The following is a 23340-nucleotide window of genomic DNA, read 5'->3' on the forward strand; positions in this document are numbered from 1 at the left end:
CTCTAATAAAAAAGCATTAAAAATATAGTCAGCATATATTTTTTGGAATATAAAATTGAGGAACTAGAATAATTCAACTTGAATAAGTGTAACTAATTCATTTTCTGCAAAATATTACCCAGAGATTGAGTATTTTTCTATTTATTCTATTGGAAAAAAATGATATACCACTGTACTGGAAATATTCAGAAAAGTTTGTCTATTTTTTAAAATTGTACTTATTATACCTTTATAACCGTGAGATAATATATTTATTATTTGAATGAGAATAAATGTTTATGATTTATACAAAAATGCCTGACACAGACTACTATGCCCACAAAAGTTGAATGGTTGTTTTTAGCTTATATATACCTATACAGGTTAATAGATATATCTTTACTTCTTTTTTCTTTTTTTTTGAGACAGAGTCTCACTCTGCAGCCCAGGTTGGAGTGCAGTGACATGATCTCGGCTCACTGCAACTCCGCCTCCCAAGTTCACGCTATCCTCCTACCTCAGCCTCCTGAATAGCTGGGACTACAGGTGCCCGCCACCACGCCCGTCTTATTTTTTGTATTTTTAGTAGCGATGGGGTTTCACCGTGTTAGCCAGGATGGTCTCAATCTCCTGACATTGTGATCCGCCTGCCTCAGCCTCCCAAAGTGCTGGGATTATAGGCGCGAGCCACCGCACCCGGCCAATATATCTTTACTTCTTATAAGAAATGAGTAACTTTATTAATTCTACCAACAGATAACATTCTTCCTCTCAGAGAGTAATATGCAATCATTTCCTAACCTTATTTTATTGCGCTATATTTTAAATATAATAAACGTGTCAAAAATGTGGTTTCGTACTTTTTATAAATTGATATATTTACCTAATTACACTAAATCTAGAAAATACTATTGTGCTTATTCAAACTTCTCTTCTCTTCTTCAGAGGCAAACCTGTATAATTTCTTTGGTTTGTTTGTTTTAAGACGTAGTCTTACTCTGTTACCCAGGCTAGAGTGCAGTGGTACAATGTGAGGTCACTGCAACCTCCGCCTCCCGGGTTCAAGCGATTCTCCGGCTTCAGCATCCCAATTAACTCGGATTAAACCCTTATAATTTCTATCATGATTGATTAATTTTGTTCATCTTCAAATTCCAATAATTAGAATTCCTACAGGATGTGTGTGTGAGTGTGTATCTGGTTTATTTTCTTTAGCATAAATAAATATTTGAGATTTAGCCAAATATTTGTGCGTATCATTTGTTTATTTTTCCTCATATTTCTGAGTTGCCTATGTATTTGTCAGAGTTTGCTTATTCATTAGTCTGTTAGTGAATATTCAGATTGCTTTCAGAATTAGCTTTTACAAATAAAGGACTTAGGTACATTCTCAAACAGGTTTTTGTGTAAATATATGCTTTTATTTTTGTTGGATAAATTTCTAGAATTGAAATTGCTGTGCTATAGGGTAGATATATGTTGGCCTTATTTAGAAGCGAATTATTTTTCAAAGCGGTTGTTCCGCTTTTTTTTTTTTTTTTTTTTTTTTTTTTTTTTTTTTTGAGACACAGTCTCGCGCTGTCGCCCGGGCTGGAGTGCACTGGCGTGATCTGGGCTCACCGCAAGCTCCACTTCTCAGGTTCACGCCATTCTCCTGCCTCAGCTTCCTGATTAGTTGGGACTACAGGCGCCCGCCACCACACCCGTCTAATTTTTTTTTTTTTTTTGTATTTTTAGTAGAGACGGGGTTTCACCATGTTAGCCAGGATAGTCTCGATCTCATGACCCCGTGATCCACCCGCCTCGGCCCCCCAAAGTGCTGTGATTACAGGCATGAGCCACCGCGCCCAGCCGGTTGTTCTATTTTACACTCTCACAAGAAATAGACATGACTTCTAGTTTCCCCACATATTTGCCAATATTAGTATTATCATTTTAAATGGTAGTCTTTCCAGTTTCAATGCATTTTGGTTGCATTTCCCCTTATCTAATAATATTGAGCATCTTTTCACATTCCTATAAGCCACTTGTATCTCTTGTTTTGTGAAATACCTGTTCAAGATTCTTATAACTATTTAGTGGATCTCAGGAGTACTCTGTGCGTTTTGAACACGCAATTTTTTTCTCATACATATATGGAATAATTTATCACAGTCTATGGCTTAAAATTATATTTTCTTACATTTTGCAGTTTTATTAGGATACATTTTTAATTAATATCTACAATTTATCAATTTTTACTCTTATGATAGTGCTTTCTCTGTTCAGAAATATTTTTCCTATTATAATAGCTCACAGATATTGTTTAATTTTTTTCTTTTAAAAGCTTTCTGAATTTTGCTTTTTCATTTTTATGCCTACATTAAAAATATCGGATTAGTTTTGTGTATACAAAGGACTGATGCATGTATTTTTTTAATATGAGAATGCATTTATTTCAAAAGCCTTTGTTAAAGACTTACTTTCCCCACTGAATTATCTACATGCCCTTATAAACATTTAATTTACTGCATAGGTGGAGGTCTAATTTTGAACCCATCTTTATCCTTATTATTTTTGTGTTATGATGCTTTGATACTGCAGCTTTCTTAGATGTCTGAAAATTGGCTCTATTTTTTTCTCAAAATTCTAGGTCCTATGAATTTTCCAAACAAATTTTGGAAACAGCTTGTGAATTTCTCTCAAAATGTTTGCCACAATTTACTACAGAGTTGTAGTAAATAGATATAGAATTCATTGTAGTCAATAAATTACAAACTATAGATTGCATTGATGCTTTTTTTTTTTTTTTGAGACAGAATCTCACCTTGTCACCCAGGTTGGAGTGCAGTGGCACAATCTCGGCTCACTGCAACCTCAGCCTCCCAGATTCAAGCAATTATCCTGCCTCAGCCTCCTGAGTAGCTGGGACTACAGGCCCGTGCCACCATGCCTGGCTAATTTTTTTGTATTTTTTTTTAGTAGAGACAGGGTTTTATCATGTTAGCCAGTATAGTCTTGATGTCCTGACCTTGTGATCCACCCACCTTGGCCTCCCAAAGTGCTGGGATTACAGGCATGAGCAACCGCGCCCAGCCCCTACTGCATTGATTCTAAAGATTAACTTCCAGAGAATTCACATCAAACAATGTTGCATCTTCAAATCTATGAATATGGTAGTTCTTTACATTTATTTAGGTCTTCTGTAATGTTTCTCTACAAGAAATTTTAAAAAGTTTTAGTGTGAAAGATTTTTAAAGGTTTCACTTAAATTATTCTTAACTATTTTTATACCATTAAAATTTTACTTTTAAATGTATTCTCAATTGTTTATTTCTAGTATTTAGAAATTCCATTAATTTTACATATTGTATTTTATGTATTGACCTTGCATTCTACACATTCTGCACCATTATTGAATTTGATTCTTATTATTCACAGCTTTTTAAATAAATGTATTAGGATTTTCTTCATACACAATATACATACATAAGTTCTGTGAATAAAAATATTTTTTCTTTTCACTTTTCAATTTTTATGCTTTTCATTTCTTGACCCCATGCAAATCTGAAATCCAGAGGGGCAGCCAAATCTTAAAGCTCCAAAATGATCTCCTTTGACTCCATGTCTCACATCCTGATCATGCAGATGCAAGAGGTGGGTTCCCATGGTATTGGGCAGCTCTGCCCCTGTGGCTTTGCGGGATATAGCCTGCCTTCTGGCTGCTTTTGTGGGCTGGTGTTGAGTGTCTGTGGCTTTCCCAGGCACATGGTGTTGTTGGTGGATCTAACATTCTGAGGTCTGGAGGATGGTGGCCCTCTTCCCACAGGTCCACCAGGCGGTGCCCCAGTAGGGACTCTGTGTGGGGGCTCCCACCCAACATTTCCCTTCCTCACTGCCCTAGCAGAGGTTGTCAATGAGGGCCCCATCCCTGCAGCAAACTTTTGCATGGGCATCCAGGTGTTTCCATATATCTTCTGAAATCTAAGCAGATGTTCCCAAACCTCAATTCTTGATTTCTGTGCATCCACAGGCTCAACACCACATGGAAGCTGCCAAGGCTTGGGGCTTCCACCCTATGAAGCAACAGCTCAAGCTGTACTTTGGTCCCTTTTAGTCACAGCTGGAGTGGCTGGGATGCAGGGCACCAACACCCTACACTGCACACAGCATGGGGACCCTGGGCCCAGCAAAACCATTTTCCTCTAGGCCTCTGAGACTGTGATGGGAAGGGCTGCTGTGAAGACTTCTAACATGCCAGGAGACATTTTCACCATTGTCTTGGGGATTGACATTCAGTTCCTTGTTACTTATGCAAATTTCTGCAGCCAGCTTAAATTTCTCCTCAGAAAATGGGTTTTTCTCTTCTATCACATTGTCAGGCTGCAAATTTTCTGAACTTTTATGCTCTGCTTGCCTTATAAACTGAATGCCTTTAAAAGCACCCAAGTCACTTCTTCAATGCTTTGCTGTTTAGAAATTTCTTCTGTCAGATACCCTAATTCATCTGTCAAGTTCTAAGTTTCACTAATCTTTAGGGCATGGGCAAAATGCTGTCAGTCTCTTTGCTAAAACATAACAAGAGTCAACTTTGCTCTAGTTTCTAACAAGTTCCTCAACTCCATCTGAGACCACATCAGCCTGGATCTCATTGTTCACATCATTATCAGCGTTTTGGTCAAAGCCATTCAAAACGTCTCTAGGAAGTTCCAAACTTTCCTGCATTTTCCTGTCTTCTGCTGAGCCCTTCAAACTGTTCCAACCCCCGCCTGTTACGCAGTTCCAAAATTGCTTCTGCATTTTCAGGTATCTTTTCAGCAGCATCCCACTCTACTGATACCAGTTTACTGTATTAGTCTGTTTTAATGCTGCTGATAAAGACATACCCAAGACTGGGCAATTGACAAAAGAAAAAAGGTTTAATTGGACTTACAGTTTCATGTAGCTGGGGAAGCCTCACAATCATGGTGGAAAGCAAAGAGGAGCAAGTCATAACTTACATGGATGGCAGCAGGCAAAGAGAGCTTGTGCAGGAAAACTCCCCCTTATAATAACCATCAGACCTCATGAGACTTACTCACTATCAGGAAAACAGCACAGGAAAAGCCTACCTCCATGATTCAATTACCTCCCACCAGGTTCCTCCCAAAAGGTATGGGAATTCAAGATGAGATTTGGGTGGGGACACAGCCAAACCACATCAATGAAGCTCTCTGTTGTATATGTTAATGCTGATAATGTTTTTTTGTTTTGTTTTTGAGGAGATCTTAGAGACGAAAAAGGGGAAGCTCCATTAAAATTGGTAAAGGAAGAAACATAATATGAAAGGAGGGAAATAATGAGGTAAAAGATGCAGAGACTGCTTTCCAGACAAAGTAAGAATGAACTTCACTTTGGAATAACAAAGCAGTGCTTGCTTGGCAAGGTGAGTCTTAGAATCTGACTAACATCAACAGGGCAGAGTCTCAGGTAATTAACAAAACCAGGAAGGAACAGGGAGCAGCAATGCTAAAACACAAGAAACCAGGTTACTTTGTCCTACTTCATAGTTGTTATTTTCCTAATCATTGGAGATAAGCTATGATTAACAGAAAAACTACCCATGTAAAATATTGTCACCCAACTTTTAAGAAAAACAAGAAAGAAGATACAAAACTTAGCAAACAGAATAAGTAATTTCAGAGAATCAGAATTAAGACAAGAAACAAATGTAATTACAGTAAGTGTAATTCATATCTTCAGAAACATGCAAGAAGAGGTTGCATTTTAGAAAATACTGATAATAGCTCTTGGATTAAAAACTCAACAGATGTTCTGAAGAGAACAATAGACATAGTTAAATATAGATCTAGCAAGTTTGAAGTTTAAAAGTTGAATAATTTTCTCTGAATCCAATGGCTAGGATAAAATGAAGAAAGGTAAAGGGAGGTAAAGTGAAGATAAAGAATTGTTGACGTAAAGTTGTTTAAAATGCTAGAAAAAAAAGGAAAGTAAACATAAAGATGGAAATAATTAAAGAACTAATTTAAATATTTTTTAGAACTAGAAATACTGTAGACTTGAGATTTAAAGTTTTCATAGAAGTATGAACTTATATTAATGGAGAAATTCTACTGATAGACATCTCTTGAAGAAGCAATGGGATACTAACGATTAGGACAGAATCATAAAGACTTCCAGAGTAGGAGGATAGAAAGGTAATTTTCAATGGAATAAGAAGTAGATAGAAAAGAAAATTTATTCTTAAACATGTAGATGTTGTTAATAACTGGGACAAGACCATCAATGTCTGAAGAAATTCCAAAAATAAAATAATAAAATTAACAAACAGATTTTTAGAATTACATCTGGCAGTCATAGAGCACAATAGCATACTTGAAAATAAGGAAAATATGGCCATTTTAATGATATTGATTCTTCCTATCCATGAGCATAGAATGTTTTTTCATTTGTTTCATCCTCTCTGATATCTTTGGTGTTTTTAGTTCTTACAGAGATCTTTCACCTCACTAGTTAGCTGTATTCCTAGGTATTTGATTCTTTTTGCAGCAATTGTGAATCAGATTGCATTCCTGATTTGGCTCTCCGCTTGACTCTTGTTGGTGTATGGGAATGCGAGTAATTTTTGTATGTTCTTTTTGTATCCTGAGACTCTGCCAAAGGTGTTTTTCATCTTAAGGAGCTTTCGGGCCTTAAGCTTTTGGGCCTATAAAGTTTTCTACATATAGGATCATGTAATCTACAGACAAGGATAGTTTGACGTCCTTTCTTCCTATTTGGGTACCTTTATTTCTTTCTCTTGCCTAACTGTTTTGGCAAGGACTTCCAATACTATGTTGAACAGGAGTGGTGAGAGAGGGCATCCTTGTCTTGTGCACAAAATACACTAAAATAAAATTGCTTAAAACTAGTGATAAAGAAAAATTCTCAAAGCAGCCAATGACAAAAACACGGTTTGCACAGAGGAACAAAAAATGCCAGCAAACATTTTATTGGAAACAAAGAAAATTAGAAGATAATGAAGCAACATCTTTAAAGTACTGGAAGATAAACATTGTCAGCTGGAAATTGTAGACTCAGAGAAACTATCTTTCAAGATGTAGGTGAAATAAAGATTTTGTTCTGGCACTTAGAACCTGAAATAAATCATCACCAGTAAAACAGCACTATAAAAAATGTTAAAGAAAATGTTTCAGGCAGACGTAAAATAATATCAAAAGGAAATTTGGATCTACATAGAAGAATGAAAAGCACTGGAAATGGTATCAACATGGTTAAATATATAAGATCCTTTTATTTCTGTTTGAATTCAATTGATTGTTTAAACAAGGGGTCAGCAAGCTATAGCTTCATGGGTGGACTGCCTGTTTATGTGAACAAATTTTTACTGAGATACATTCATGCTCATTTGTTTATGTATTATCAATGGGTGCTATAGAATTACAAAAGCAGAATTAAGTAGTTGTAACAGAGCCTAATGGCACACAAGCCTAAAATATTTAGCTTTTAAGGAAAGCATGTCCGGTTCTGGTGGCTCATGCCTGTAATCCCAGCATTTTGGGAGGCCGAGATGTGCGGATCACGAGGTCAGGAAATTGAGACCATCCTGGGCAACATGATGAAACCCTGTGTCTACTAAAAATACAAACATTAGCTGGGTGTGGTGGCATGTGCCTGTAATCCCAGCTACTCGGGAGGCTGAGGCAGGACAATCTCTTGAACCCGGGAGGCAGAGGTTGCAGTGAGCTGAGATGGCACTACTGCACTGCAGCCTGGTACAAAGCTAGACTCTGTCTCAAAAAAAAAAAAAAAAAAAAAAAAGAGAGAGAGAGAAGAAAACAACATTATTAACCTCTAATTTAAACAAGAATAATAACAATTTATAATGAGTTTAAAACATATATAAAAATAAATCACATGACAATAACAGAACAACAGTTAGGATAAAATAATGAAAATGTTGTTATTCATGATACTGTATGTAAAGTAGTATATTATAATTTGAAGGTAGAATGTGATGAGTTAAACATGTATACTACAAACTCAAAAGCAACCATTAAAATTAACAATATAGAGAGTTTTAATTCTCAAGTAAAAAAGGAGATAAGATGAAACCGTAAAATATATTTAATTCATAGAAAAGAAGGCAAACAAGAGGGAAAATAAGCAAAAAACAGATGGGATGGTAGGGGAAGCAAAATTTTATTACCATCTTCTTAGTTTTTTTTTTTTCCTCTGCTAAGCCTGAGAATTAAATTGATATAAGACAGATCAACAGGAAAATGCATACAAATTTATTTAATACATGCATTATGTGGCATGAGAGATTCTTTAAGGAAGGAAGACTCCATGACATAATCACTTATGTTCTGAAGTAGACACAGAGTAGTAAATTGTGAAATATGACAAGACAAAGGAGCTGGAACTAGTGTAGTTAATTGGGTGAAGAGGTGATTAACAGGATAAGGGTTGGTTTAACAAGGTATGTTTGTACAGGTTTCCCTTGCCTCAACTTCTCATCCTGGGTGATGAGACTGTTACTTTCCTTCTTGTATAAAGAGGGCAACTTTCATGTAGAAATTTTACCTCCTACTTTTAAGAAAAAGGAAAATCAGAGTGCTTTAAAGGAAAATCAGAGTGCCTTAAAGGAAAATCAGAGTGCTTTAAAGGAAAGTCAGAGTGCTTTAAAGGAAAATCAGAGTGCTTTTCTTGCATCTGCTATTTTTCAAGTGTCTTTAACTCAAAAAAATCAATATGCCAAAGTGGCACGTTTCGGGGTATCTGGTTCTGAATTCCTTCAGGAAAGATAGAAAGCAAAAGCAAAATAATAGGTTTAAAACTAAAAATATCCAGGTGCGGTGGCTCACGCCTATAATCCCAGCACTTTGGGAGACTGAGGTGGGCAGATCATGAAGTCAGGAGTTCGAGACCAGCCTGGCCAACATAGTGAAACCCTGTCTCTACTAAAAATACAAAAAATTAGCCAGGCATGGTGGTGGGCACCTGTAATGCCAGCTACTCAGAAGGCTGAGGCAGGAGAATGGCTTGAACCCAGGAGGCAGAGGTTGCAGTGAGCCAAGATCATCGCATTGCACTCCAGCCTGGGCAACAGAGCCAGACTCTGTCTCAAAAAAAAAAAAAAAAAAAAAGAAAAAAATATATATATGCACACATAACCACATTACATATAAATGGTCTAAATATACCAATTTAAAAGCAGATTGGATCAATAAAACAAGATCTAAGTTATTACTGTCTAGAAGAAATTCAAGAATATCCTAATAAAAGATATCTATGTAAAAACAATAGCTGGCATCATACTTAATGAAGAAAAATCAGTTTATTTCCCCCTATTTCAGGAACAAGATGAGTCCATTAACTCTTAGCACTTTGTTTTAACATTCCACTAGACGTTCTACCAAGTAAAATAGACAAAAAACATAAACAAAAGAATTACAGATGGGAAAGGAAAATGTAGATTGGTTTTATTTATAGACGGCATGTCTATGTAGAAAGTCCACTGAAATCTACAAAAACACTGCTGGCTATAATAAGTGAGTTAGCAACATAAAAAAGAAAAAAAGCAACATATTAAACTAATATTTCCATATACCAGCAATGAACAATAAAAAATTAAAATAAAAGTACTATTAATAATATCATGAAAAATGTAGAAGAATTAGGAATTAATCTATCAAATGATGTGAGTCTGGTACACTAAAACTCAAAACACTGCAGAAAGTTAAAGAAGACTTAAATAAATGGAAAGATGTAATATGAATATGGGTTAGAAAATTCACATGGTAAAATGTGATTATCCCTAAATATAGATTCAATACAATCCCAATTAAAATATTATTAGGCATTGTTTATAGGAATTTACACACTAATTTTAAAACTTCAGTAGAAATGCAAAGAGTCTAAAATAGCCAAAATAATTCTTAAAAATAAGAATATTTTTGAAGGATTAGCACAATCTAATGCCAAAGCTTATAAGGCTACAGTAATGAAAATAGTGTGATATTGGCATAAAGATAGACAGAAATGTCATTGGAAGATAATAGAAAATTCAGAAATATATGTACAGAATTTTGGTAAATTGGTGTTCTCCAAAGATACAAAGGTAATTCAGTAAATAAAAGATAGCCCTTCAACAAATTCTGCTGGAACAATTAGATGCTCATATGCAAAAAGTAGAACTTTAACACGTAACTCATGATACAAAAATTAATTTAGTACAGATCATATGCCTAAATGTAAAATGTAAAAACAAAGTGAAAAAAAGGAAGAAAAATTACGTATAGGAGAAAATATAGAAAAGTCTTTGACCTCAATACTACTTAGACATGACACAAACACCAGGTTTCATCAAAGTAGAAATTGACAACTCGAGTTCATCAAAATGTAAAACATATGTTCCTCAGGAAACACTGTAAAACAAATAGAAATATAAGACACTACTGAGAACAATATTTGCAAAATATATGTCTGGCAAAAAAGTTGTGTCCAGAAAATATAAGAACTCTCAAAACTTGATAATAAATGTAGTAACTCTAATAAAAGTAGGCAAATGGCTTAAATGAATACTTCTTCCCTAAAGAACATATGTAGATAGAAAGTAAACACATGGAAAGATCCTCAATATCATTAGTCATTAGGGAATTGATCTGTGTCTGTCAAAAATGGGTTGGGTACAGTTGCTCAAGCATGTAATCCCAGCACTTTGGAAGGTCAAGGCAGCAGGGTTTCTTGACCCCAGGAGTTAGAGAGCAGCCTGGGCAACGTAGTGAGATCCTGTCTCTACAAAAAAGAAAAAGACATGGCATGGTGTCTCTATTTAGCTAGGCATGGTGACACATGCCTGTAGTACCGGCTACTCGGAAGCTGAGGTGGGAGAATCACTTGAGCCCAGGAGGTGGAGCCTGCAGTGAACTATGGTTGTGCCAATGCACTCCAGCCTGCGTGACAGAGCAAGAACCCATCTCAAAAAAGAAAAAAAGAGGCCAGGCACAGTGGCTCACACCTGTAATCACAGCACTCTGGGAGGTCAAGGTGGGTGGATCACCTGAGGTCAAGAGATCGAGACCAGCCTGACCAACATGGGGAAACCCCATCTCTACTAAAAATACAAAAATTAGCTGGGCATGGTGATGTGCGCCTATATCCCAGCTACTTGGGAGGCTGAGGCAGGAGAACTGTTTGAACCCAGGAGGTGTAGATTGCAGTGAGCCGAGATTGTGCCATTGCACATTGCACTCCAGCCTGGGCAACAAGAGTGAAACTTCATCTCAAAAAAAAAAAAAAAAAAAGAAAGAAAGAAAGAAAAAAGAATGGCTAAAGTTAAAAAGGCTGGCCATGCCAAGTGTTGGCAAAACTATAGAGGACAACCAACATACATGCACTGCTAATGGTAAAGGAAATTAGTACAATGACTCTGGAAAAAGCCTTGTCAGTTTTTAAAATATTTTGACGTATGCACCTATCATATGACTGCCAATCAATTTGTAGGGAAATGAAAGTATATGTACATAAAAAACTTGTACCAAAACATTCACAGCACTTTTTTATGGGAGAGAGGGGCTAATAGTGAAGAGCATGTAACAATCAAATATTCATTAACAGATAAATGAATAAGCAAGCTTTGATATATCCATATTTTGAAATACTACAAGCAATAAAAGAAATGAAACTTTCATCCATACTATAAAATAGATTAATCTCAATAAATATGCTAATTAATAGAAGCCAGATCAAAAGAGAACAGTATGATATCATTTATATAAAAAGAGGCATTAGAGCCTAGTAGTTAAGAGTGCAGCTTCTGGAAGCAAAATCCTTAGTATGATTTTGGCTCATTGTCTGCAGCATTTATTTTATGTGCGCTCTTGAGGTTTTTACAGAAACAATATGCCTCAGTTTACTCATCTATATAATGACTATATCGATAGTCATCTACTTTATAAAATATAGTATTTTATAATGTAATACTTTATAATATATATTTGATATATATTTTAAAATGTCTTTATTATATTTTATAAAGTATAAATAATATAAAATAATGTCTATAGTTGTTGACTTATAAAAATAAAGATTAAATAAACAAAAATATGTGAAGCACTAGTTTACTACCTAGAAAATGGTACATTTTAAATATTTTCATGATTGTAATAAATAAATGTATCCTTATAATGTTATTTTATTAATAATAAACAAAAATTTATTTTTAGAATAATGAATATTATAATTATTTTTATTTTTAGAATAAATAATAATGAATAATATTATTATAATAATATTATTATTCATTCTTATATACCTTTGAAAAATCATAGGGTAAGATGATTGAAATTCTGTGTATAGCATCTCAGCAGATGAGATATATAAGAAAGAACCATTGCACCCCCATTTACTTAAATCAGTTATAGTTTAAGTTGTTTGAAAAAAGTCATTTATTGGAATCACCACATGACATCAATCAAGAGCAAAGTGTGTAGAATACTGTCAAGTTTTTCTCCAAGAATTTATTTCTGTTTTCAATTTGCAACTCACTGAAGCATTGAACATTTTATGAGCTCTACAACTAACAATGCCTGGGAATTTAAATATTTTCCATGGAATCTGTTTACTTCAAATGAAAAAAAAGGAGCAGATATGATAATGAATAATTTACCATGCGTATATGGTACAAAGTAGAATCTTTAAAAATAAAGACACAAACAGCAACAACCACAAAAACCTCAATTGTTTCTGCTTTTGTTCTATTTTTAGTGAACTTAAAATTTTAAGAGAAACTCTTTCTCCTTGTTTTTAACACGTGTAGAGAGAGGTGTGGAATATTGTAAAGCTTTTTATCTGATTCGGCCTGAGTCTCAATAGATGAAGATTCATCGAGTTTAGTAGGCCGAATAGTTTTTTCTAAAAGATATGTGACGCGTTAATCCTTGGAATCTTTGAATATAATGACACGTTAAACAGTGAATATTACCTTATACGGCAATGCTTGTGATTAAGTTAAGGACTTTAAGGGAAGGGGCTTATTCTGAAATATACTCACGGGTCTCTAATTCAATGACAAATGTTCTTTTTTTTTTTGAGATGGAGTCTTGTACTTTCGCCCAGGCTGGAGGGGTGCAGTGGTGCGATCTCTGCTCACTGCCACCTCTGCCTCCCGGGTTCAAGCAATTCTCCTGCCTCAGCCTCCTGAGGAGTGGGATTACAAGCGCCTGCCATCATGCCCAGATAATTTTTGTACTTTTATTCAAGGAAGGGTTTCACCATGTTAGCCAGGCTGGTCTCAAACTCCTGACCTCAAGTTATTCGCCCTCCTCGGCCTCCCAAATTGCTGGGATTACAGGCATGAGCCACTGTGCCTGGCCTGACAAATGTTTTTTTAAGAGTGAGTCAGAGGGAGACTTGACACACAGAAGAGGAGGCAATGTGACCAGGGAGCAGAGATTGGAGTGGCGCAGCCCCCAGAAGCTGGGGAAAAGGAATGCTGGCATGAGTAAAGGAATGCTGGCAGCCCCCAGAAGCTGGAAGATCCACAGAATGGATTCTCTCTAGGGACCTCAGAGCGAGTGTGGCCCCACTGTATTTAGGACTTCTAGCCTCTAGAACTGTTTTAGAATACATTGCTGTTGTTGAAGTCATTTAGTTTGTGTCAATTTGTTGTGATAGCCTAGGGAACTAATATAATGAAGCATGGAGAGAGAGAGAGAGAGAGAGAGAGGATAAAAGGTGAAAATCATGTGCCAAAACTAAAGAAAAGAGATGCTGACATTTGTGATTAAATAGAATAATTGCACTATTTAAGATTAATCACTTGAGCCTGGGAGGTGGAGGCTGTAGTGAGTCATCATGGTGCCACTGCATTCCAGCCTGCATGACAGAGAGAGACTCTGTCTTAGGAAAAAAAAAAAATTAAGGTGGTCCAGAATGCACCCAAGGATAAAATGCAAAGATGATCTTGCCCCATGTATGTTTTAGCATACTACTTAGGTACTATTTATTTTTTAATTATCTCCTTTTTACATTTTGACAATTTTATCCCAGTGGTCAAGCCTTGTATTAGAAAAGACAGAAAGAAGGAAAAGAAAGAAGGCAGGAAGGAAGGCAAGGGGAAGGAAAGGAAGTGGAAGGGAAGGGGAAGAGAAGGGGAAGAGAAGGGGAGGGGAAGGGGAGGGGAGGGGAAACGTTGCTTTGGACAGAATAAATGGGTAAGGGTTTCTATTTTAATTAGATTAAGATTAATTAGATTAAACCTCTGAGGAAGTCTTACTTGAGCTGAGAAACTAAATATGAGAGGGAGGAGTACCACTGCATTGGTTATAGATGGGGTAGAAGTCTACAAAAGAGTTCATTGAGGAATAGAGTAGTAAATAAGTGACTTAATGAGTTTGTGGCTGGGCGCAGTGGCTCAAACGTGTAATCCCAGCACTTTGGAAGGCCGAGGCGGGCGGATCACGAGGTCAGGGGATCAAGACCATCCTGGCTAACACGGTGAAACCCCGTCTCTACTAAACAAAATACAAGAAATTAGCCGGGCATGGTGGCGGGAGCCTGCAGTCCCAGCTACTCGGGAGGCTGAGGCAGGAGAATGGCGTGAACCCGGGAGGCGGAGGTTGCAGTGAGCCAAGATCACGGCACTGCACTCCAGCCTGGGGGATAGAGCGAGACTCTGTCTCCAAAAAAAATAAAATAAAATAAAATAATAAAATAATAATAATAATAATGAGTTTGTATTGTTCTTATTTTGCAAAAGAATGCAAGATCTGGGTAGAGAAAGGGCAAGAGGGAGGACTTCCCAGACTGAATCAATAATATTAACAGTATCAATCTGCCACTAATAATTATTTAAGAAAAGTATTTTTCTGCTTTCAGTTTTATTTATTAAATAGTTTCTGCTAGCCTAATGTTAAAGTCTGCCAACTAGTTCCTTCAAGTTAATCACATTCACTTTTGGTTCCCTCTTAACACATTAAGATATTTTATAACTCTGTGAGTTTAAAATCTGATGCAAATTCATTGTGGTCAGGCAAGATGCAAGACCAGTCGGGCAAATACACTTCCCTTATTTTTTATGGGTCTGAAATATCTTTTGTCTTGGGAGATGTATTATTATACAAAAGATCTATTTGGCAATTTATAGTTTGCTTTTTATCTATTCAATTGTTCCCTGGTATTCTTAGAACAGAAAAGCGAACCTTTTAAGAATAATAACATGCAAATTACCTTTAATTACTCTCTAGCTCTTTCAGTTAAACAAAAAAAAACCTCTCATTTTAGGTTCAGTTTGTAACTGAATAGAACATTTTATATCTAAACCCTTAATGGAAAGGCTTTCCTATTTCCCACAATTTTCTTTTCTATTTAATGTATTCTCTAAATTTAACACATTATTTAAAATGCCATCCATATACCTGATCAACTTGAAAAGATGGAGAAACACACAAGTAAAGCTTATTATCTGTTCACATTTTATTCTATGTTTCCATTTTCATAATCAAATAAATGTAGACTGTAAAATACTTATTTACAAATCTGTCTGATTTATATAATAAACTCTGAGGAAACTGGAATGAAGTAGTGCTACAAGCAAGGGACAGAATAAAGTTTTGTGTATTAATTACCTGATTTATACTTTAGTCCCTTTAAGTAAAAGAATGTAACAAATAGAAGGATAGTTATTAATATATTTGGAGGAGAAAGAAGGATAAAATGAAAGATACAATGTTCTTAAAAACGGAGAGTTTTATCTTTTTTCAGAAGTTTAAAAAATATTTAAACATTTCCCTTTATGTTAGCGCATATTTATGTTATACATTTCATTTACAAGTAATTGTATGGTAAATAGTTACAAAAACAACAAGGAAAAGCTTTGAGTTAAGGAGCTCATGATTTTCAGTGTAAAATACATGTTATTTGAGTAATTTGGGAAACTGACAGAAGCTTTCTTGCAGTCAAGAATGCTGCTCAAAAATTAATTTTAAAATAAAAATAAAAGAAAAAAAATCCTGAAAGCTTATGTAGCAAAACAAGTATTGTAGTCCATTACAAAAATTAGCCTTTTCTGAAATCATGTTAAAAAGCAAAAAGATCTTAGAGCAGAATTTCATGTACAGTTCATTTTGGGATTGATCTTACTTCCTTGATAGGTGGTCTTACTTCATCCTGTTGGAGCCCATCATGGAGAGCTGTTTTACAAATATTCTTAGCTCTACTACTCACATAAAAATTCAACCTATGACTCCTGTTTCTGATAAAGTAGCTATTTAAATTCATTAAGAATGTTTCATCATTTTAGTATGCAAAATGCATTGTTAGATTATGTAAGTGACACATACTATCTTAAAAGTTAATAAATCTCCCAGAAGAAATTAGACTCAGATGCTATATTTATTATGGAGAATTAAGAAATACCTAAGGTTACTGTGATCATCACTTAGGAGTTTTGAATCAATTATATGAGAAACTAAAGAAGAAGCTTTGACTGGAAAAAAAATGAACCAAAAAGAAAAAAATTATATAAAGTCATTTTATTGGACACACATGCTAAAAATTAGAAAAACCATACATTTTACTCTATCGATCTGTTAGGAAAAACTATAGAATATGATAGTGATTGCATTGATTCTACTTAGCAAATTAAATGCAAAACTAAGATATTCACCAAATATAAAATATAGTTATTTTCTAAGAAATAAAACTCACACATTCTGGTGGCAACTGCCATTTTTAGCAGAAACCAAAACTATTTCCTGTTAACATGAAGGAAAAACCATCATTGAACACTCAAGTAATAATCAGGGGACTAGGATGGACTTTCAGTAAGATACCACTGGAATATACCTGGACTAAATCTATTCTGACAAAATTAAGTATACCAACCGAATAGTTTTGTGTGTGCATTTGTTTTTACTATATACTTTTATAATCTCAAAAGTACCTAAAAGGAGGCAAAACAAGAAAGGATTTGTCTACAGAAAGTAAAAATAAGAATGATTATAAAATATTGTTAAAGAAAAGACACTGCACAGAATAGTCATGGAGATTTCTGTACTAATCACCTTGATCATAATGAATAATCACTGAATTTCACTGGCCTATTTTCCTCCACAAGATTCTATGTTAGGTAAGCAACTTTGGGTAATTCAATAATAGGAAAGATGTTTCTTTTATAACATATCTGATTTGTACAACTATTTGAAATACATTTTATGCTATAAAATAAAAATGGTAACTCTTATTTACACAGCTATTTATTGTGAATTTGTATAAAGACAGCTCATCCTTAGAACTTAATAGACTAGGATTCTTGGTAAAGTATATATTGTATATCTGAAAAATGTAACAGTGACAATATTAAAGTATTGCCACTTAGTGCTGTGTTACCTAAAGAAATTGTCACTTTCTGTCAGTCTTATCACTGACATTTAAATTTCAGATATAGGTGAATTCAATATTGAAGTGAATAGAGCTACCGATATTTGCTTTCCTAATATTCATGGAAGTTGTTGTTGACCTCTCATAGATAAATAAGCAAATAATATCTTCAAAAATATATCTAACTTGACTCAAATACTTCTAAGTATTTTGTCATTTGAAGGGATATGAGCAAGTTGAGAAGAAGAAATGTGGAGAGAGAAATATTCATGAAAACTAAATTTATAACATTAAACTATTGCTCAATTCTTAGAAATTTAATCACTACTTATATTTTAAAGCAAAATATTTTTGAACTTATTTAGAAAAATATGACTTCATCTCTCATATGTCCATTCAAAGTTTTAAACAAAGTATAAAAGGAAATTAAACAGTGGAGGAAATGAGAAAGGTCATAGGCATTCAAGAGGTTTCAACAAATTTCTGGAGGAATGAAAGGTAATTGAAGGATGTGTTAAAATAATTTCTATTATTATCTTTATAGATTTAGTGTCCAGTAAACATTTTATAAACAATCCAACTTGCTGTTTTGTGTTCTTGAACTTTATTTAAACTGAATTATATTGTACATATCCTTTTGTGACTTAATCATACCACTGCATATTACGTTTGTGAGAGTAAGCCACATTAACATATCTAAATAAAGTTATCTATGTTTTTCTAAAGTGTAGTATTCCACTGTATGAATCTACCACATTCTACTGTTGTTTAACTTTTACATTGCTTATAGTACTTAACTGAGCCTGTAAATATTTTGGATCACATTTCTTAATGGCCAACCACGTACATACAAAATAAGGAGTGAAAGCCAATTGCTGATTAGAATATATGGTCATCTTCAATATTACTGGGTAATACAAGCCTCTTTTTAAAACGGATATAATTTCCATTTCCAGGAAAGCATATGAAATTATTATTGCTCTATATGTTTGCCAGAAGTCTTTCTTGTCAGACTGTTTTTGGTCAATCTGTTGTATAAGTAATAATGTACATATAAAACATTTTCATTTGCATTTTTGTGTTAAAAATAAGTTAAAGTGATTCTAAATATGTATGGTGGACACTTATATTTTACATTTTATAAAGCACATGTGCAAGCCATTTTCTTTGTTTTACTGTCGGGTTTTCTGTAATTTTTACCTGGGTTTACATTTAAATATTGATCACCAAGGAATTGATTGTTACATATTATATAAGGTAAAGAATCTCTTTAATTATTTTCCATATGTATAGCCAGTTTTCTCACTCTCATTTATTGGCAAATTTATTTTTCACCACTGATCTATAATACTAGCTTTCTTACATATCATGGGTTCTTATATTTTCCTTACTGTAGTCTACCTATTCCATTTCATTGATTATTTATTACTTTGTTAATACCACATTGCATTAATTAAGTCTTATAATATTTCCTGTAATATATTCTTCCTTCCTCAATAAATTATTAACTGAATTTTAATATTTTTAGAGTTTACATAAATTCTAGAATTAGCTTGTCAATATCTAAATCAAACCTTACTGGGTTTTACTTTGGATGCACTAGTTACAAAGATTAATTTTGGGGAGAAGTGATTTCATTAAAGTCTTTCAATTCAAGAATATATTTATGTCAATGTTATGTCTATGTTTATTTGAACTTTATTTAAACTGAGTTATACTGTACATATTCTTTTGTGACTTAATCATACCACTAAATATTATGTTTGTGAGAGTAAGCCACATTGACACATCTAAATAAAGTTCTCTACTTATATGAAATGCATTTCAATATTGCATAATACGTTTGTGTCAAAGCATCTTGCTAAAAGCTCATATTCATTAGTATAATGTATCTTACAATCATTTTGAATTGTCTGTGTACTTAGTGTCATCGGTAACATAGTAATCTGTTTTCTCTTTCATAATTCTTATTTTTTTAATATTTACAATCCTATCCCAGTGTCTAAGACCTGCAAAAGGATAAATAAAATTGCTTGTACCATCTATGTTTATTTTGTTCCCAATCACAAAGGAAATATTTTAACATTCCATTGTTAAGTGTTATAATTTCAATAGAACTTTTGAAAACAAATGTTATTAGTTAAACTAGATTCTCTTTTAATTTTGGGTTGTTAAAATGTATGACTTTTTAAGAAAATAAAATTAAATATGCTTATAATATTGTTAAGTTATTTGTTGTGGTGTATCATATTAATTGATACCTTTACATGAGGCCATTATTGCTTCCCAGGGTTTCTTAGAATAAACATTGGCTGTGATGTCTTACATTTTAATGCATTGCTTATTTCTGCGTGGAACTTTTTTAAGTTTTCCTTCATTATTTTCATAAATTACATTGGTGTTTAATTTACTTTCCCTTTACTATCCTTGTCAGGTTATAATATCAGAGTCATAATAGCATAATAAAATGAAATAGAGTATGTTCTTTCCTGTTTCATGCTCAGAAAGAATTGTATGTAAGACTGGAATTATTGTTTTGTTTCATCTTTGAAACAACTTGCCAGTAAAGTCATCATGGCTTGAAATTATCTTTATGATATGATTTCTGACTACTGATTACATGCATTTGTTGTAGCACAATTCAGATTTTTCTTTTCACTTTAGGTTACTTTTGGAAAAATGCTTGTTTCAAGTAATTGCACACATTTTACATATATTTCCAAATTTATTGAAGGTTTTCATACTACACTAATTTACCTTCTTGATATTTGTATTATTTATAACAAAACTCAATAAACTGTGGCAAATAAGCCAGACAGTATTTATAAATAAAGTATTACTGGAACACTGTCATGCTCATTCATTGACATACTGTCAATTTATGCCACAACAATAGAATTGATTAGTTGCAACAAACCATATAGCCCAAAAACCTAAAATATTTACCACCTGATCCTTTCCAAAAAACAAAAAAAATTCTTGACATCTGATGTATAATTATTTCCTATTTTGATTCCTGAGATTGCATACTTGTTTCTTCTCTTAATTTTATCAAGCCATTTCTCCAGAGTTTTGTTATTGTATGGCTCCTACAACAACTAACAAACTTTTGGCCATATTTCTTGACTTTTCTTTCCCTGTATTCTTAATCACTATGCATGTATTTTTTATTTCCTTTTATTTCTGTTGATATTTCTAACTTCTTCCAATAAATTCAGAACATTTTAAATATTAATTTGTTGTCCTCATAAAATAAGAATTTAAGGTTCTACATTTTCCTCTAAAATGACACATTTTATAATGTAGTATACATTTTTTAATTAAAAATATTTTATAATTTCCATTATGATTTGCTCTTGGGTGTTGAGTTACTAAGAAGTATATTTCTGAGGTTTTTCTTCAATATGACTGACTATAGATATTCGAATCTAGTTATTCTCAGAAAGAGAAAGCAAAGTTATGGATAAATAATCATTAATTCCAATATCTATATTGACGGGAGTGCTAGAGCACCACAAGAAGAAACTTGAACACAGAAAAATAAGGAAGCAAAAATCCAGCAGAGATTATACTCTGAGGGACTTGATGTTCCATGGAAAAGCATAGGTGGGGGTGTCTTTTGCTCCTCTCACCCCTGTGGCAGACTGCTTGTTTCTGAACTGTTGGAGAGCCCTCCATTCTCACAAGCCCAAGCACTGGTGTGGGCTGCAATCTTGGAACAACTTGAGGACAGAGAACAAGGCTACTATTTCCTGCAGTGCCACTTGCCCTTCACCCAGCCCCAAGATGAGGTGGTGGGCACCATACTAGATATGCCTCTGTGGTGGACCTCTATACTGCCTTTGAGTGAGAGAGAGGCTTGCCCCATCCCGTTGACAGCTTCCTTCTCCATCCCTGCGTCGAGCTATGGCTAGATTTCTCCATGAGGGCAGAGGGCGAGAGGCGTGAGAAGCATCTTCTGGAAGGTCTGCGGGCACCCTCCTGCGGGTGGACAATAAGCGCCTGGGAGGCCGTTGTCCTTGGTTGGGGAGCGGTCGTCTGGATCTAGCCTAGCAAAGAGGCTGCTCCGGATGGGGAGGGAATGAAAGCCCCTGCGGCTCCCACGCAGATGCCCACGTTGCCCAGGCCTTCACAGACCCCCAAACCGGAACCGCCGGGAAAACGATTGCCAACCGGCCACAACACCCAGGCAGGGACGCGGGGAGAGGCTGACCAGAAGAAAGGCCGACGTGCAAGAAACCCAGCCTCCGGCGCACAGGGAACATGTGTCCCAAGGCGCACGCACACACAGACGGACAGAGACAGAAAGAGAGGGCGACGGAAAGAGCGAGAAGGGAGAGAGAGAGAGAGAGAGACTTAAGAGAGAGACAGTAGTGGGCACACAGACACGCACTTGCGCGCGCGCGCACACACACAGACACACAGACGCGCACACACACCCCCATAACGCACACAGATATACAGCAGGTAACACCCACCCCCAGGCAGCCCCTGAAGCTGCCGGGTTCTGCTCTCCGCGACTACGAGCCACCGGTGAGACAGCAGCCCACGGGCACACAGCGAGACCTGTCCTCGACATCACAAGGCCGCCACTTTTGGGGAGACTCACCCGCACACCGTCCGCGCACGCCTGAGGCTGGGATCCCGCGCTGCCTCCCCGGCGATCTGTCTGAGGTTTCTTCCTCCTGGGGTTTCTTCCTGCTGGTGGACCCTCCGCGAATCCCGGCCTCCGGAGACCGTCCCGGTAACTGCCCTGGCCGGGGCTGGTCTCAGCCCCGACTCTGACGCACGATCACACAGGGCTCCCACTTCGCCAAGTCTCAGGGACCCATCCCTTGGCAACGGTGGCGGTCACTGTGACCGAAGCGGCGGCTCGGGCCTCGCGCATGAGCGCTGGCGAGGCCGACTCACCCGCCCCACCCCCCCTTACTCGGCAGTCAGGCTGCGGACCCTTTAAAAAATGGCGGCGACGCCGCGGCTGCGGGGACTGGGGTGGCGGTGCTGGAGCTTGCGGCGGCGGCTGCGGTGCAGCCCCAGGCGGTGGGTGGGAAGAGGACTACCAGAGGGGCCTGCGGGAGACCCAGGGTCGGACCCATAGGAGTCCTGTCGTCAGGACCTCCTTGATCGGTCTTCTGCTTGGGTTCCCGGTGAAGGAGGAGCTTCGGGGTGCCGGCTGGGCTGCGCGGACTCCTCTTGGGATCCGATGATGGATCCCACCCGGTGATCGGGAATGGGGTTACAATGCAGTGAGGCGGAAAGGCGCTCGCCAGGGCGCAGAAAGATCCCCAGGGCCGCAAGGCGTGCTGTCGGCTGCAAAGGCACTGACCCACGAGCCCACTGCCTCCCTCCTTCCTGGGTGGAGCAGGGGCCTGCCTTCATCTCCAAGGCCCGGGGGTTCCGGCATCTCGACGCGGCTTCCGGCGACACGGGCAAAGAGAGACAGAGGGTAGTCCGAGCCGGAGCCAGTGTGACCACACGTGGCCCTGACGTCCCCCAAGAGCACATGCAGTGAGCCCGTGTCTCTGAGGCCGTAGTGGGCGACGACGAGACGGACAGTGATGTCCAGGCCTGCGCCCGGGGGCCACTGGAGACCTGCCCCTCAAAGCGGAGGAAACTGCCAAGCGCACCTGAAAACCTGCGAGACAGGGCCTGTGCGCGAGTCCAGTACTCCTACTTCGCCAAGTCTCAGGGACCCATCCCCCAGCAACGGTGGCGGCACAGAGAGGTGCACGGCGCCGGCGCAGGTTCAGAGAGATAGGAGGCTGATGGGGGGAAGTTGAGGCACCTGGGGCAGAGAAGAAAATGCATCGCCAAGCGGTTTCTGGGTCATACACGGACGAAAATGTCTTCCCATCAGCCCTTGCGCTGGTCCCCAGGGACCCTGGCATCCGTCGTTGGCGCCCAGGGTTCGCGTCGGGCCACTAGGGGTACCCCAACTCGGACAGAAGGCCCATGAGTTGAATTTGAAGTTTGTGGGAATAGAGGTGAGGCACCAGG

General features: G+C 36.9%; 1 long non-coding RNA gene across 1 annotated transcript; it reads right to left on the reverse strand.

Moving 5' to 3' along the window:
* Positions 1–6923: 6923 nt before the first annotated feature.
* On the reverse strand, positions 6924–22745 carry LOC124905322 (uncharacterized). The gene is made up of 2 exons (XR_007068533.1): positions 21953–22745; positions 6924–7748 (listed from the first exon to the last, which is right to left on the reverse strand). It is a non-coding gene; the product is annotated as an uncharacterized LOC124905322 (long non-coding RNA).
* Between the last annotated feature and the right edge of the window lie 595 nt (positions 22746–23340).

This window comes from Homo sapiens (genome assembly GCF_000001405.40).
Source record: "Homo sapiens chromosome 9 unlocalized genomic scaffold, GRCh38.p14 Primary Assembly HSCHR9_UNLOCALIZED_CTG3".
In the NCBI taxonomy this organism is placed as follows: domain Eukaryota; kingdom Metazoa; phylum Chordata; class Mammalia; order Primates; family Hominidae; genus Homo; species Homo sapiens.